General features: G+C 36.9%; 1 protein-coding gene across 33 annotated transcripts in view, besides 2 other annotated features; it reads left to right on the top strand.

Moving 5' to 3' along the window:
• Nucleotides 1-16,716, top strand: part of KIF21A (kinesin family member 21A) — a 149,893-nt gene that overhangs the window by 29,544 nt on the left and 103,633 nt on the right. The gene's annotated exons all lie outside the window — the stretch shown is intronic.
• Nucleotides 823-1,561: an enhancer, noted in NCBI's record as "OCT4-NANOG hESC enhancer chr12:39805818-39806556 (GRCh37/hg19 assembly coordinates)". NCBI's record gives its function as "activates a minimal SCP1, AML or CMV promoter by ChIP-STARR-seq in naive and primed H9 embryonic stem cells {active_cell/tissue: H9 hESC(naive and primed)}" and the evidence as "EXISTENCE:reporter gene assay evidence [ECO:0000049][PMID:30033119]".
• Nucleotides 10,261-10,310: an enhancer, noted in NCBI's record as "active region_6199". NCBI's record gives its function as "activates an Ori minimal core promoter by ATAC-STARR-seq in GM12878 lymphoblastoid cells {active_cell/tissue: GM12878}" and the evidence as "EXISTENCE:reporter gene assay evidence [ECO:0000049][PMID:35858748]".

Here is a 16,716-nt window from a genome sequence, read left to right as displayed (position 1 = left end):
AATTTGAATTAGTGATTCCTTGTAGAACTTCAAAATTATTATCTGTCAGAATTAATTTTGTTCTTTTAGAATAAAGAAGTGAGGTATGACAGTAGGCATCTATCTGACACACTTTCTTGTTGTCCCCAAGGAACCTCTTTTAAGTATTTCACCTGGTCAAGGAACGCAAAGGATTAGGTGTTGATGTTTTGTTTAAGTGGGATAGCGTTCAATAGGTAGGGGCAGGAGGGAAGAATTGACCAATTGTTTCCAAAATGGGTGTAGGAACCTAGGCATGCAATATAAGCTACTAATTTATCTGTTTAAACTGGAAACAAAGATTTTTAGATACTACGGGGTCAAGATAACAAAATTTTAGTTATTCTTAATGGCACCTTCTCAAGTGCTGTATTCTTTTTTTTATAAAGAAGAAGTTCAGTTAGGTAATTAAAATTAAGTGGATGTTTGACCTGAAAAAATAGAGGAGGCATTCCTAAAAGATTTGCTATATTAATGGTTTCAAAACAAAAAAGAAATACACTAAAACAGGTGCTTTCAAATTCAAATTTCAAAATCACTGGGATAGGTCCTCCAGAATGATTGAAGGCCGAATTCATATTTGTTTGTTTTAAATGAGATTTTTAAAAATTTCACAAATGCATGAGAGTTTTTTGGTACTCTGGTAAACTGTATAACATTTATTAAAATCTAGAAGTAGTTTTAGTGCAGCATTTTAAAGCAAAATTAAGTATCATATCTTTGAGGGCTTGACGTGGGACTCAGGTAGTTCAAAAGTAGGTATTTGTAAAGAGTTACTGCTCTAATTATGGAGATGCATTAGTTATAATATATTGCTAATTAATTTTTTTTCTGTTTTTTTGAGACAGGGTCTGGCTCTGTCACCCAGGCTGGAGTGCAGTGGTGCAACCTCAGCTCGCTGCAACCTTCATTTTCTAGGTTCAAGCAATCCTCCCACCCCTCAGTCTTCTGAGTAGCTGAGACTACAGACACATGCCACCATGCCCGGGTAATTTTTGTATTTTTGTAGAGACAGGGTTTCACCATGTTGCCCGGGCTGGTCTTGAACTCCTGAGCTCGAGCGATCTGCCCACCTTAGCCTTCCGAAGTGCTGGGATGAAAGGCATGAGCCACCACACCTGGGCGCTAATTACTTTTCAACAAGTCCTTTCATCCACTTGATGGTAGAGTAGGCATAAACAACCATTCAGTTTGTTATTCATCATGGGTCATTATTCTTAGTGACTAGTCAAACATTTAAATATCTTTTGCATCATAATGTCTAGGCAACAGGCAGGAGAAACATCATGTTGCCATGTGCTTGGATTTTACAAGTGTCTATTAAAATACCATTAATCATTGTACTTATTGAGAATATACATTTTTTTACCTTAAATTTATTACGTGTTCTTTGGATGTTAAAAACGTAGCAGCATGCAGGGCACTGGGGCTCACGCTCCCGTGTAATCTCAGCACTTTGGGAGGCTGAGGCGGGTGGATCACCTGAGGTCAGGAGTTCTAGACCAGCATGGCCAATAAGGTAAAAACCCCGTCTCTACAAAAAAAAAATTACAAAAATTAGCTGGGTGCAGTGGCGTGCACCTGTAGTCCCAGCTACTCAGCAGGCTGAGGCAGGAGAATCTCTTGAACCCAGGAGGTGGAGGTTGCAGTGAGCTGAGATTGTGGCAATGCACTCCAGCCTGGGTGACAGAAGGAGACTGTTTAAAAAAAAAATTAGCAGCAGGCCAGGTACAGTGGCTCATACCTATAATCCCAGCACTTCGAGAAGCCGAAGAGGGAGGATTACTTGAGGCCAGGAGTTCAAGATCAGCCTGAGCAACATAGCAAAACCTCATCTCTAAAAATAAAAATAAAATACATAAAAATTAGCTGGGTGTGGTGGTGCATGCCTGTAGTCCCAGCCTCTTGGGAGGCTGAGGCAAGAGGGCCACTTGAGCCCAGGAGATTGATGCTGCAGTGAGCCATGATCACGCCACTGCACTCTAGCTGGGGTGACAGAGGAAGACCCTGTCTTTAAAAGAATAAAAAATAAATGTATACGTGTTATATTTTTAAATCAATTTGAATGGTATTTATTAAATTGCTTACAATGTGCAATATATTGTGGTGGATTAAAGAGAAGCACTATAAGGCATGACATTTCAAACTTAAATATGTATTCCGGTCACCTGTGGATCTTGTTAAAATGCAGATTTTAATTTATTAGGTCTGTGGTGGGGTCTCAGACCACCATTTCTAACAAACTCCTTGGCTGATGCTCCTGTTTCTGGTCTATGCATATCAAGGCTATAAGGTATAGATTATATCATTAAACAGTTGGCATTCTTATTAAAGAATAGTGTTTACCCACATAAAATATTAAATAAGACTTTAGGATAAGAGGTGGTTGAGAGCTAAAAGAGGCATGGACAATATCTAGTTTAAAAGTTGAGGGGAAGCTGAGATCATTATGGACAAAAAGCAATTAGGGACTGCTTTATGGCAAAGGCAAGGTTTAAGTTAGGCCTTGAAGAGAGGCAGGAATTGGTGGAAAGGCAAAAGGAAAAACTTTACAGAGAAGGCTAGCAGTGGTAAAGACCAAGATGAATCTGAATGAGGGTGGTGACATTTTAGGACAGGTAGCATTCTCTCTCTTTCCCTCCCTCCCTCCATTCCTCCAGGGTATGAGAACTTTGCAGGGGAGAATTTTGCAGGGGAGGAGGAAAAGAGAGAGGGCTCTCTTATTTTCCAGTATATAGAGGTTTTTTGTTGTTGTTTTTTAAAATTTATTATTATTATTTAGATGTTTCTATTGTTTATTTCTAGTTTAATTCCTCTGTGGGCAGCAAAAAAACTTGGTATAATTTCAGTTTTCTGAATTTGTAAGACTTGCTTTATGGCTCAGCATATGGTCTGTTTCAGTAAATGTTACTTGTGTGCTTGAAAAGAATGTGTGTTCTACAGTGGTTGTGTGTAGTGTCTTATAAAAGTCAAATAGGTCAAGATAGTTAATAGGATTGCTTAAATCTTTCATATCTCTTCTAATTTGTTTTTTGGTCTGCTTTATTAGTTACTAAGAATAGTGAGTTAACATTATGCAACTATGATAATGGACTTACCAGTTTCTTCTTTTATTCTGTCAAATTTTGCTTTTTAGATTTGATATTATTAGGTGGAGATAAACTGAGTTTCATATTTTCTTCTTTTATTGATCCTTGTATTAGTTTCCTACTGTTGTTGTAACAAGTTACCACAAACTTAGTGACTTAACACAAATTTATCTTATAGTTCTGGAGGTCAGAAGTTCAAAATTGGTTTTACTGGACCAAAACTAAGGTTCTCCAAGGGCTCTAGGGGAGAATTCCTTTCCTTTCCTTTTCTAGCTTCTAGTGCTGCAATTCTTGCATTCCTGGGCTCAGGGCCCTTCTTGCATCTTGAAAGTCAGCAGAGGACAAGTGCGGTGGCTCATGCCTGTAATCCCAGCACTTTGGGAGGATAAGGCGGGCAGATCACCTGAGGTCAGGAGTTCAAGACCAGCCTGGCCAACATGGTGAAACCTTGTCTGTATAAAAATACAAAAATTAGCCGGGCATGATGGTGAGTGCCTGTAATCCCAGCTGCTTGGGAAGCTGAGGTGGGAGAGTCACTTGAACCTGGAAGGCGAAGGTTGCAGTGAGCCAAGATCGCGCCATTGCACTCCAGCCTAGGCAACAGAGTGAGACTCTGTCTAAAAAAAAAAAAAAAGCCAGCTTCTTCGATTTTTCTCTATTTCCAGATTCACGTTGCCTTGTCTTTTATAAGGACTCTTGTGATTAGATCAGGCCTACAGAGATAATGCACGAAAATCTCTCCATCTCAAGATCCCTAATGTAGTCATATCTGCAAAGTCGCCTTTGTCATATAAATTAACATATTCACAGGCTCCAGGTATCAGGGCATGGCCATTTTGGGGCTGGGATGAGATGATAGATATTATTATCACAATTCTGTTATCATTATGAAATATTCCTCTCCATCTTTGGTAATATTTAATACTACTTTTTTTTTTTTTTTTTCTGAGACATGGTCTCACTTCATCACTCAAGCTGGAGTTCAGTGGTGCAGTCATGGCTCACTGCAGCCTCAGCCTCCCAGGCTCAAACAATCCTCTCACTTCAGCCTCCTGAGTAGCTATTTTTTTCTTTTTTTTTGTTTTTTTAATTTTTATTTATTTATTTATTTTTGTAGAGATGAGGTCTCACTATATTGCCTAGGCTGGTCTTGAACTCCTGGGCTCAAGCAATCCTCCCAACTCAGCCTCCTAAGGTGCTGGGATTACAGATGTGAACCACCAAACCTGGCTCTTTCTTATTTGCTTAAGGTTCATTGATTCTTACATCTCTAAGCTTGTCTTTCGTTAGTTTTGGAAAATTATTGGCCATTGTACTTTCAAATACTGCTTTTTGGCTGGGTGTGGTGATTCATGCCTGTAATCCCAACACTTTCAGAGGCCAAGGCAGGAGGATTGCTTGAGACCAGGAGTTAGAGACCAGCCTGGGCAACATAGGGAGACCCTTAAAACAACAACAACAAAAAAATAAAAAATAAAAAAGATTAGCTGGGCGTGGTGGCACGCACCTGTGGTCCCAGCTACTCAATAAGTTGAGGTGGGAGGATCACTTGAGCCCAGAAGGTTGAGGCTGCAGTGAGCCATGATCATGCCACTGTACTCCAGCCTGAGTGACAGAGTGGGACCCTGTCTCCAAAAAAAAAACAAAAAAAAACCAACAAAAGCCCCCACAACTATTGCTTCTGCCACATTCTCTTGTTCTGGGACTCTAATTATACATGTGTTATGTGTTGAGAGCATCCCACTTCTCCCTTATGCTCTGTTCTCTTCTTCTTTCTCTCTGTGCTTCATATTGGATATTTTCTATTGATCTGTTTTTGAGCTAACCAAACACATCTTCTTTGTCCAAGCTGCTATTAAACCTATTCAATGAGTTCCTGATTTCAGATACTTTATTTTTTTAGTTTGAGAATATGCATTTAACTATTTTTATAGGTTCAAATTTTCTCTTGAAATTCTGTATTTCTTTATCAGGGGTTCCTCAATCCCTGGACCACAGACTGGTAACAGTCTGTGGCCTGCTAGGAACTGTTACCAGTCTGTGGCCTGCTAGGAACCAGGCACACAGCAGGAAGTGAGCAGCAGTTGAGCCAGCATTGCCCCCTGAGTTTTGCCTCCTGTCAGATCAGTGGTGGCATTAAATTATCATAGGAGTATGAACCTTATTGCGAACTGCACATGTGAGGGATCTAGGTTGTGTGCTTCTTGAGAATCTAATGCCTGACGATCTGAGGTGGAACAGTTTTATCCCAAAACCATCATCCCCCTCCACCCAACCCCCCGACCATCCCTGGAAAAACTGTCTTCCACGAAACCAGTCCTTGGTGCCAAAAGGTCAGGGACTGCTGTTTTAATAAACTTTTTATATTTTTTTCTTCTCCATTCTTTAATGTATTTGTAAGTTTTTTAAAAATCCTCATTAGCTAACTACAGCATCTTGATCATCTGGAGATTTTTTTTCCATTATCTGTTTTTTTCTCTTGACTATTTGTCACGTTTTCTTTTCTCTATTCATATGCCTTGATTTTATGCTACTTATTTTATGCTAAATATATTTAGCATATATTTATATGCTAAATATATTTAGCTACTGATTTTATGCTAAATATAATATGTAAAAGGCCAATTGAGAGAGATTTTTGTTTGTTTTTTGGAATGGGCATGGGTTAAGAGAGATTGAGAGTCATTGTGAATAGGAACATGAGGATAGCACCTTGTTGCTTGTGAAGAAATTGAGTAGGGGAATATTTGTTAAAATGATAATGGGATTTTCTCTAGGACTTTCTAAGAGATTGAGCAAGCTGTATGATCTTGAGCAAGTTACCTAACCTCTAGAAGCCTTGGTTTTATCTTCTGTAAAATGAGATAATTATAGTATTTATCTCACAGAGTTACTGGAGGGAATAAATGAATATTTCTGGCAGCATAGTAAGGGTTTGATATATTACTCATTGAAGATTGAGAATAGACTATTGGATTTGGTTATATGATAAGTTGTTAATGTCTTTGACAGTGGGTTTTCAGGGATGAGTAGAGACAAAGGCCTGAGTAAAGGAGGTACAGGAGAGAATGAGGAATTCAAAACAGCAAGAATAAGCCATTGTTTTGAGATTGTCAAAAAGGATATTAGAGAAATCTGGTAGCCAGAGAGGGACATGAAGTTCAAGGATAAGTTTGAAACATTGTAATGATTGTAATTACAATAAACTTCACGGTAATTTTATGTAGTAGTACTGTTTTGACCCCCACTGTAAAAATGAGAAATCTCTAGCATAAAGAGAGGAATGCAATTCTAAAATGTTTGTGTGCTGAGAATGATCTACTGGGAAGGGAAGAATCGACAATGCAGGAGCTGGAAGGAATAATTCTAGGAGCAAAATTTCAAATAAGTGGGAAATCATGGAATGCAGTCCACAAGTGGAGAGAGTGACCTTTAACAGGAGCAGGGAGTGTGCATTCATTTTAACAATATTGAAAGCAAAGTATATGGGTAGATTTTGGAGTGGGAAGATGAAGTTTTATTCTGATAGCTTGTATTTGCTCACTGAAGTAAGAAACAAGGGAATGAGCTGAGCATGAGTTTGGAGGTATTATAGAAGAAGCAGTGAATTAGTTATTTTGGAGAGTGGGTTGATTTGAGATTACGAATGAGTCTTTTGATAGTGCTGAGGGCCCATTTAAGTTTGTGGTCATACACGTAAAGTGGAGATTGTGGCAGTAGGAGAGAAAAGGGAGGCAGGAAGCTTGACATCTTTGAGAAAGAACAAAAGATGAATTAACATGGTGAAGCCAAGAAAGGAAGAAAACAGTCCTTCCCTTGAAAAGCTTAAAGTATACCTGCCAAGTTAGATGATACACAGGGAAAAGGATACATAAGTAAGCAAATGATAAATGCCAAATGACCTAGAACACAGGCTTTGTTCCTTCACAGGAGGGAGTGAACATTTTGGGTGACATGGATGGCTTTAGTGGGAGGTAAGCATTGATTGGACATTAAAGTATGTGCAGATGCCAAAAGAATAGAGAATCATTTGCCAACTCCCTGGTTCCAGTACTGTGCTTTCTTTTATTTGGAGCCTTTGAATTTCCTGTCTGTTGATTCTACTTCTTTTGGCATTGGGCAGATAGAGACATTGATGCATCCCTTTCTGTCTGAAGATAATACAATGTTATAGTTACCCACAAAGGAGGTATAATCACACTGTAATGACCTTGAGATGTTTTCACTTTTACATAATGTATCAAATATGTTGCTTGAAAATTTGTTAAAACTTGAAAGTATTATTTTGTGTTTGTTTGGCTTTTTTTTTTGGAGGAAGTGGGGTGCTGTTAGAGAATAGAATAATTTTTTTTGTTTGTTTGTTTTCAGGCTCTGTTCTGTTACTTCAAATTTTAGTTGAAATTTACAGATGTGTTTTGAATGTTCTAAGCTTTCTTTGACTTGAACATGAAGGGTGGGAAGAAAGGAAATCTGCAAAGACACGCTTTACATATAAGCTAAAGGGGAAATTTTCTTCTACACAAAATAAAATGTTAGTCACACATATAATGATGGGTTTGTAACTGTCTTGTTACTATTTTGTCCACTACTGAGTGACTTTATTATTTTTCTTATTGCATATTTTTTTTTCTTACGGCCTAGTTAAGAATGATCAACTTCGTGTTTTTAGTCATTTCAGTGAACAGGCAGTCTTCTGTTTCAAACAGAGAAATGTCTGTTGGTAAGAAACTTGCAACAATAATGTAGGGCTTTTTTTAGTGGTTTGTTTTGGAACTTTATATACGCTTTTTAAAAGCAGCTGCAAGGAAAAGTGTGTGTAGGTTTTTGTTTCTTAAATGTTAATGTAAGGGATATTTAAAGAACTATATGAAGCTTTTTAACAGTGCTTTATTTGACTTTTACTAGTTAAATATTTCCTGCACTGTAGTTTTACTGTAAGATGGCAACAATTTTACATAAACAAAATTTTTCTTACAAATACTTTTTTTAATGTTGCAATTATTTTGGCAAAGATACATTTTTGAAAAATAAATTGCATTTATTTTTCTAGTTAATCTCTTACTTTAAAAATAGCATTTAATATTAAATTTAAAAAATAAATTCTCTCTTTTGTTTTTTTGATGGAGTTTTGCTCTTGTCGTCCAGGCTGGAGTGTAATGGCACAGTCTTGGCTCACTGCTACCTCTGCCTCCCGGGTCCAAGAGATTCTCCTGCCTCAGCCTCCCAAGTAGCTGGGATTACAGGCGCCTGCCACCATGCCCAGCTAATTTTTGTATTTTTAGTAGAGACTGGGTTTCACCATGTTGGCCAGGCTGCTCTTGAACTCCTGACCTCAGGTGATCCATCTGCCTTAGCCTCCCAAAGTGCTAGGATTATATGCATGAGCCAGTGCCTGGCCTTCAAGTATATTTTTACCACATGAATAGCTTTAAATTCTCCATTATACACTTTAATGGCTATTCTACTATATATTTTTTTAGTTTGAAAAAAAAAGCCTTAGGAAAATTTACTTTCCATAGACAGAATTTGTTTAACATTGCGCATTTGAAATTTGTATTAGTTCAGCAAGGAATATATACTATTTGGAATATTATTGATACTGCTGAAATAGTATGAAGGTATCACTAATTTTATATTTAATTTGCCAAGACAAAGAACTCTTAAAATTCCATTATTTTCTTGATATAGTATTTATATAAAATTCTGTTTTGGAACATGTTAGAAGTCTCATTTACTATTAAGTTGTAGAAAGCATATTTGCATTGATTATGATTATGTGTTTTTACATTGCTACCTATATAATGAAACAGGATGGTAGTATTACATTGCAAGTAGATGGCATTTATGCTAAATAGCATTATCTCAAGGGAAAAGAGGATTTTTATATTTAATGTCCCCAAATTCTTACTGTATATTTCTCAACTGCTTGTGGCTGTGTTTTTTAGTTATGAAAAAGAGTAACAACTCAGATTATCTTAAGCACTACTTACAGTAGTGAAATGAATACCCCAAATATGTTACCCTTTCTTATTAAAAAATATTTTGAGAGGAGCTGGAAAATGCAGTAATTATTCCACATTATTTTTATTTCTAATCAAGTTACCATTATTTTCTCATCTTATTTGTTAATAAGGTCAGTTGGAAAAGGTAGTCTTTCACCATATGTCAGTGGCTCCTACATTTTAGTGTGTCTAAGAATCTCCTGGACCTAGGCATGGCAACGCATGCCTCTTACCTCAGCTACTTGGGAGGCTGAGTCAGGACCATTGCTTGAGTCTGGGAGGCAGCAGTGCACTTGGAGGTAGTAGAGTAGCATGATTGTGTCTGTGGATAGCCACTGCACTCTAGCCTGGGCAACATAGTGAGACCCTGTCTATAAAATGAATGAATAAAAATAAAAAAGAATCTCCTGGGTGCTTGATAAATATGTGGATTTCTAAACCCACTAGAAATTCAGAATTACCAGTCTATGTGATTAACAAGCTCCCAGGTGATTAAGATGCATTTGGTCCTTTGAGAAACTTTTGACAGGTAGCAGTTCTTTAACATTTAATTCAGTTCTCATTCATATTAACTCAACATTAATTTCAACATTAACTTAATTTTCATTAAGTCTTCAACAGTCTTAAAGAAGTAAGACTTTGCTACTAAGCTGAGATTGTTTCACTTAAAAACTTACATGAAAGTATTCTAGATATTTTAATAGCTTTGAAAGTTAAAATAATGAGTTCTCATGTTTTAGATTATAATAACATGTTTGTGTAGAGTTCTACAGTTTAATAGTCACTATTACATCTATTGCCATTTTATCTTCATAAAAAGCCTGTAAGGTAGGTAAAACAGGTATTATTACTTTCATTTCATGTACTGGGAAACAGGCTAATGAAAGTTAAGTAACCTGCCCTAGGTCATGTAGCTAATAAACAGCTGAGATTCACTAGAACATAAGTCTTGACTCCTAGACTCATGCTCTTTCCATATCAAACCATATTAAGTTATCTAAAATTGAAGCACTGAAAAAGTGTGTGTACATTTTTAAATATGTAGGTGTATATGTATCACACTCACATGTATATACAAATGTATCATCAGAAATGATTAAACTTTTTCTAATTAAAAACTTAGTATGCTGATTAGATTTTGGCATTTTTAGACAGTAAACATGCTTTGTCTTACAAACTGTAGACTGTGAGTTCCATAAGGGCATGTACTGTGTATTGCATATCTTGGTATTCTCATTGCCTAGCCTAGTGTTTTGCATAGAGCCCCCAGGTGTTCAAGGGTTTGATGAATGAACAAATGGGTAAATGAATGACTGTTAGGTTTTTTTTTGTCAAGGGGTGTTTGAAGGTTTTTGATGTGTATTTTTGTCTCAAAGTGGGAAAGGTTCATTACTGAGCTCTTGACTTTTAAGTGGGGATGACACACATTCTTGAATTATGAGTACATGTAGTGCCAGTTCTCACAAGCAGATGCCAAACACTGCTTCATGAACCAGCACAACAATCATATGATGGTAGTAGTTTCTTCTCTTGCAATGTGTTATGACATATTTTACAGTTTTTAGTTATATACAGGTAATTTTTTTTTAACTAAATATAATGCAAGGGTGTCCAGTCTTTTGGCTTCCCTGGGTCACATTGGAAGAAGAAGAATTGTCTTGGGCCACACATAAAATACGCTAACACTAATGATAGTTGATGAGCTAAAACCAAAATTGCCAAAAAAACTAATAATGTTTTAAGAAAGTTTATGAATTTGTGTTGGGCCACATGCAAAGTCATCCTGGGCCGCATGCAGCCTACAGGCTGCAGGTTGGACAAGTTTGATATAATGTATGTTACTGGGTAAAATTAAATTCTAAGTAGAGGAGAAAGGGGCTCCTCTTATTTTATTATTTAAAAATTATTTATTTATTTGTATAGGTATGTATAATACAGGTGTCTTGCTATGTTACCTGCCTAGGCTGGTCTCATACTCCTGTCCTCAAGCAATCCTCCCTCCTCGGCCTCCTGAGTAGTTGGAATTATAGGCATAAGCCACCAAGGCTAGTGTACTATTTATTGTAGAAATACTTTAGAACCCTTTAGAGGACATCTTAAAAAATGTTTCTAAACCTAACAAACTTTTAAACTACCATTATGGCTTTCTCCTTGCCTTTCTTTCTAGAAATACATTGATCCAACTCCTGTTCTACCCAAGTTGTGGTGGTGGTGGCTCAGAAAGATTTTCACTATTCTGTTATCTGTTTAGAAGATATCCTTTTATGTAATATAAAATAAATTTTTTGGTGTCTCTTCCTAATTGTATAAAATTTCCTAAGAGGCACGGTCACCCTTTTTATCTTAGAGCCAGATTATCCCTTTGCCAATTACCCAGAATGTCCAAATATACAGTTTTGATAGGCCACAGTTTTGTTTGATTTTGTTTTTGTTTTATCAATATATTTAATTTTCCTGTCTGGTAGGAGTAGGAAGAATGCATGAATGCAGTCTAATTTAGTCTATTTCTCTGCATATTTGCAACTTGTAACTAGTTTGGTAAGGAATTATATTGAATCAATGGTTCAAATGAAGTTTTGGAGAAGCTGTGGTTTTCATGTATTTCTACAGTTCTCCTTTTTTAAAAAATATTACATATAGTTGTTAAGTGCATTCATTACTAATCCTGAAATCCCATTTCTAAAAGGCAAATGTCTAGCAAAATACTTTTTCTTGAAAAGATTGGAGAAGAATTTAAGTGGTGACAACATTAAACACTTCTCATGAAGACATGCCTTCGATAGATGTTCTGGGCACTGGTTTTGATTCAGTTTTTGGTACTTAGCCAAGCGTTCCTCCCATGCACTCTCAAGTTCTTTCTGGCCACACTGTGATTTTGCCTCAGTAAGTATCTGTAGAATCATGGGAACTTGGCCTTTACTGTTGTTGATAACATTTTATTGTGAACACCCTTTAATCTTTGGCATACTAAAATTTCATCTGAAGCATTTTTCAGCCTAGAAATGTTTTTTGTTTTTTCCCCAAATATTGTCTTTTTAAAAGACAAGACAATTGGGTAAAGAATTTACCTTGAGAATTTTGTTTCCTTACTTCTCCATTTTCCCAGTCATTATTTTTGTTGCTTTTGACCCGGAAACAAGTTCTTTTTCCTGTATCCTTCTCTAATCTTTTAGCTCGTTTGAAAACTGAAGTTTTCTACTGTTACTATTCCTTATGAATGTCTATTTTTCCTTGCTTACTATATACTGTCTGGCCTTTACCTCATTTCCTTTTGGTTCCTAGAGCACTTATGATTCTCTTTTGTGGTACTTATTTTATCTTGCATTTTTAAAGGAACATGTCTGTATTCTCTGAAATGCAGACTCTGTGAGGGTAAACTCTTAGCTTATTTACATTTGTGTCTTACAAGTGTCAAGCGTGGGGTTTTTCAATGAGTGGATGCTCAATCAATATTTATTCTCTTGGATTAAATTAATCTTCTGGTTTGGCTTCCATGAGTATAATTATATAAAAATCACTTGTCTCTAGGAACCTTTGTGAAACCTGAGCAGAAGATGGTTTTCTCCTTTGGTATAATTGGTCATTTTCTGCTTTAGGTTTTTTTTGTCCTGATTTCTGATGCATTATCAGAACTACACATCTTGGCAGTACATGTCTCTTTTTTGTTTTGGTTAGAAATAAGATAGTCACGTTCTAGAACTTCAGCCTAAATCAGCCTTTCTCTATTTCTGGACCTAGTGATAGTTCTTGACTCTATCAGCACATTACTGGAATTAGCAAGCAAGTAGCAGCAGTTAAAGACCCTTCCCTTTCTTTTTATGGCTGCATAGTATTCTATGGTGTATGTGTACCACATTTTCTTTATCCAGTCTGTCATTAAGCTGGAAGCCGTTATCCTCAGCAAAGTAATGCAGGAACAGAAAACCAAACACCTTATGTTCTCACTCATAAGTGAGAGTTGAATGACGAGAACAAATGGATACATGGAGGGGAACAACACACACTGGGGCCTGTTGGGGGTTGGGGTGAGGGGAGGTAGAGCATTAGGAAGAATAGCTAATGGATGCTGGGCTTAATACCTAGGTGATGGGTTGATCTGTGCAGCAAACCACCATGGCACATGTTTACCTTGTAATAATCCAGCACATCCTGCACATGTACCCCGGAATGTAAAATAGAAGTTGAAGGAAAAAAAGAGACTCTCCCCTTCTGGTATTTAAAAGATCTTGGACTCTCAGCTCTCCTTCTCATCACCTAAAGTAGAGGCTGAGCATTAATAACTTTCAACCATAAGTAAAGAAAATTGTAAACCGTGGAAAATAGCTTTAAAGCCTTAGGACTAGGGATTTTCACTAAACCAGGAAGAATTTTTTGTGTAGCATTCTCTTGGCTTTGTTTCTGTATTAGTGTTTTCACTTATTAGCAAAGAGCTTTGTGTCGATGTTATGCACATGAGGTACATGTGGTAAATAGAATAAATATATAAATGATAAATGGTGGCAATTTATCCCCCTTCTTTCCCTTTAATTTCAGTAAGATGTAAAATAAATTAATTGGGGTGGAGTCACATAAAAATATATTTTAATTCCTTCAACTTCTAGTAAATAAATGCTTTCTGCTACTGGTTGTCAGAAGTGTGAAATCCATCTTTTCAGCAGGGCCAATTATCAGCAGAGAGGATCCGAATTGAGGTGAGTGAGAGGCCCAATCACATGGAAGATGCCTAGGGGCCTATCAGAGAGACACAGGGGCAAGTATGCCTGGCCTCAGCTGTAGCTTGCCAATTAGCCTGCTGAGCAGCTTTGGGTTTTATTTGTTACTTGGGGGAGAGAAGATGTGGGATAACCAAATTAAGACCTCGTGCATACAGAGTGTCTCATATGTCTCATGTTTATATAATGTATTATGAATGTTAAATGCATCAGATACCTCATTATATTTACAACTTCATGAATATTAGGTGCTTTTTGCATATTTAGTGCCTCATCAATGTAGATTTCTCTTGTTCCTTCCATTCTGTCTCTATTTAGGGATAGATACTAGACTTATTAACTACAAATGTCCCAAGGTATCCCTGAGGAATTGGTTCCAGCCATACCTCATTGTCCCCTGTGGGTACCAAAATCTGTGGATGCTCAAGTCCCTTACATAAAATGGCATAATATTTGCATATATACTCACACATCCTCACATATACTTTAAATCATCTCTAGGTTACTTATAATACAAAATACAATATAAATGCTATGTAAATAATTGTTATACTATATTTTCTTTTGATGGAATCTTGCTGTGATCTTGGCTCACTGTAGCCTCGACATCCTTGATTCAAGTGATGCTGCAGCCTCAGCCTCCAGAGTAGCTGGGACTACAGGTGCATGCCACCATGTCCACTTTGTATTTTTTTGTAGAGATGGGGTTTCTCTGTGTTGCCTAGGCTGGTCTTGAACTCTTGTGCTCAAGTGATTCTCCTGCCTCAGCCTCCCAAAGTGTGGGGAGTACAGGCATGAGTCACCGCTCTCAGACATTATACTGTATTTTTAAAATTTGTATTTTTATTGTTTTTTTATTGTGTTATTTTTAATTTTTTTGAGTATTTTTGATCCTTGGTTGGTTGAATCCACAGATGTGGAACCTGGGGATATAGAGGGCTGACTGAATTTCCCTTTATACTCAATGCATCTTATGAATTCTGCCTGTCTCACAAGCTACTTATTTACTGATTACTTTTCTATGGTAAAGTGTTACCTAGGTCTTGTAAACTATATACTTATTCATCTTCTATAGCAGAATTACATATTTTCAAAACCAAATTCACATTATAGGGCCTTTGAAGTTGTGGTTCCCTCTCTTTCTGTAACCCTCTTACTCCAAGGATACTTCTGTAATCCTCTCACTTGGGCTCTTCAACTACCTTCTATTGATCTCCTTTTTGATCTCCTAGCCTAAAACAATTCTCCTGCCTCACCCTCCTGAGTAGCTGGGACTACAGGCGCATGCCACTATGCCTGTTTAATTTTTAAAATTTTTAGTAGAGAAGAGATCTTGCCGTGTTGCCCAGGCTGGTCTCAAACTCCTGAGCTCAAGTGATCCTCTTGCCTCAGCCTCCCAAAGTGCTGGGGTTACAGGCATGAACCACCATGTCCGGCCTATTTTTTGTGTGTTTATATCTTTGTGCATGAGTTCATGTAAAAGAACTTCTTCATGAAGTATCATTCAGTACGAAAGATGGCCACTTGAAACCAAGATTCAATGGCCTTTCTCCCTATGATGGTTTTTAAAATGTAGAGTGTAAATTTCCTAGAACACTCAAGTACATATTTAGCATAGTGTATACAACATTGTTGTACCATAGATAATAAGAATGTGTCAATTACTTTGAGTTTGAAGACAGAATTACAGTTAGAACAATCGTTTTTGGATGTCAATTTTACTTGTGGTTATAGAAGAGCCCCTGGGCATACAATTTAAAAGTCTGGCTAAGAATATTGTGTCAGATTTGTGTGGCTGGCTGTGGTTGAGGCAAAACTTTGTAAGTCATACTCAAAATCTGAGGAACACATTCTACCATTGTGTTAAGTCTGTAAGCTCTGCATTCAGCTATTTACATGTTTCTGGATAGTGCCTGTCATTAGATTATTTTTGCCACCACTTGAGTTGCTATGGCCATGTGTGAAGAGCTAGACTCTTTGTAGGCCAGTGGATCCAAACGTTCGTGTTATTATTTGGGGGAATTGGTGAAGATATAGATCCCAGGGCCCTACTACTACAACAGTTTGTTTGGCTTCCTTCGGTGAGGCTCAGGAACCTGAATTTCACTCATTCAGCAAATGCTTGAGTACCTACAGTATGTACCAGGAACTGTTCTGGGTCATAGGAATATGTCAGTACTACTGTCTTGGAGCCTTGGGAGTCGCTGCAGAGAAAAGAGCAATCACATATTAAATAAGTTAATTACATAATATATTAGAGGGTGGTAAGTACTGTGGAAAAAAATAGAGTTGGTTAAGGTGAATCAGCTCTATGGGGGGTGGTTTGGATGGGGGCTAAGAATGAAGGTGGAAGTGAGTGTGTAGTTTTACCTAGCTCTCAATATTATCCTGATATGTGTTTCACTATATTTTGAAAAACACTGCTGTAGACATTATAATTTAAAATAATTTAGTATTATTTCCCATCAATTGTGGTTCTTCAAATAAAAAAAGTATTGAACACAAACATTATGCTATGCATTATAAAGAACCAAAACAAGTATTTTAGCAGTTTTATTGGGGTATAATTTATAGACCATAAAATTCACCCAATGCAAGTATATAGTTCAGTAATTTAGTACATTGATGCAGTTGTGTGACCATCATCACAATCCAGTTTTAAAACACTTGTCAAGAAGTTCTGTTGTATTTACTAATAAATAGTCGGTCTCAGGCAACTACAGATCCTGTTTTCTATGTAATTTTGCCTTTTCTAGAAATTTTTTAAATAAATAAAATCATACACTATTTATTTAGTCTTTTGAGTTTGGTGTATTTCACTTAGCATTATGTTTTTGGGGTTTATTCACGTTGTGGCATGTGTCAGTAGTTTATTCCTTTTTATTGCAGAGCAGT

The sequence above is a fragment of the Homo sapiens genome, chromosome 12 (genome assembly GCF_000001405.40).
Source record: "Homo sapiens chromosome 12, GRCh38.p14 Primary Assembly".
NCBI classification, from domain to species: domain Eukaryota; kingdom Metazoa; phylum Chordata; class Mammalia; order Primates; family Hominidae; genus Homo; species Homo sapiens.
The sequence above is the reverse complement of the archived record's forward strand: the minus strand, read 5'-3'. Positions and strand labels throughout refer to the sequence as shown.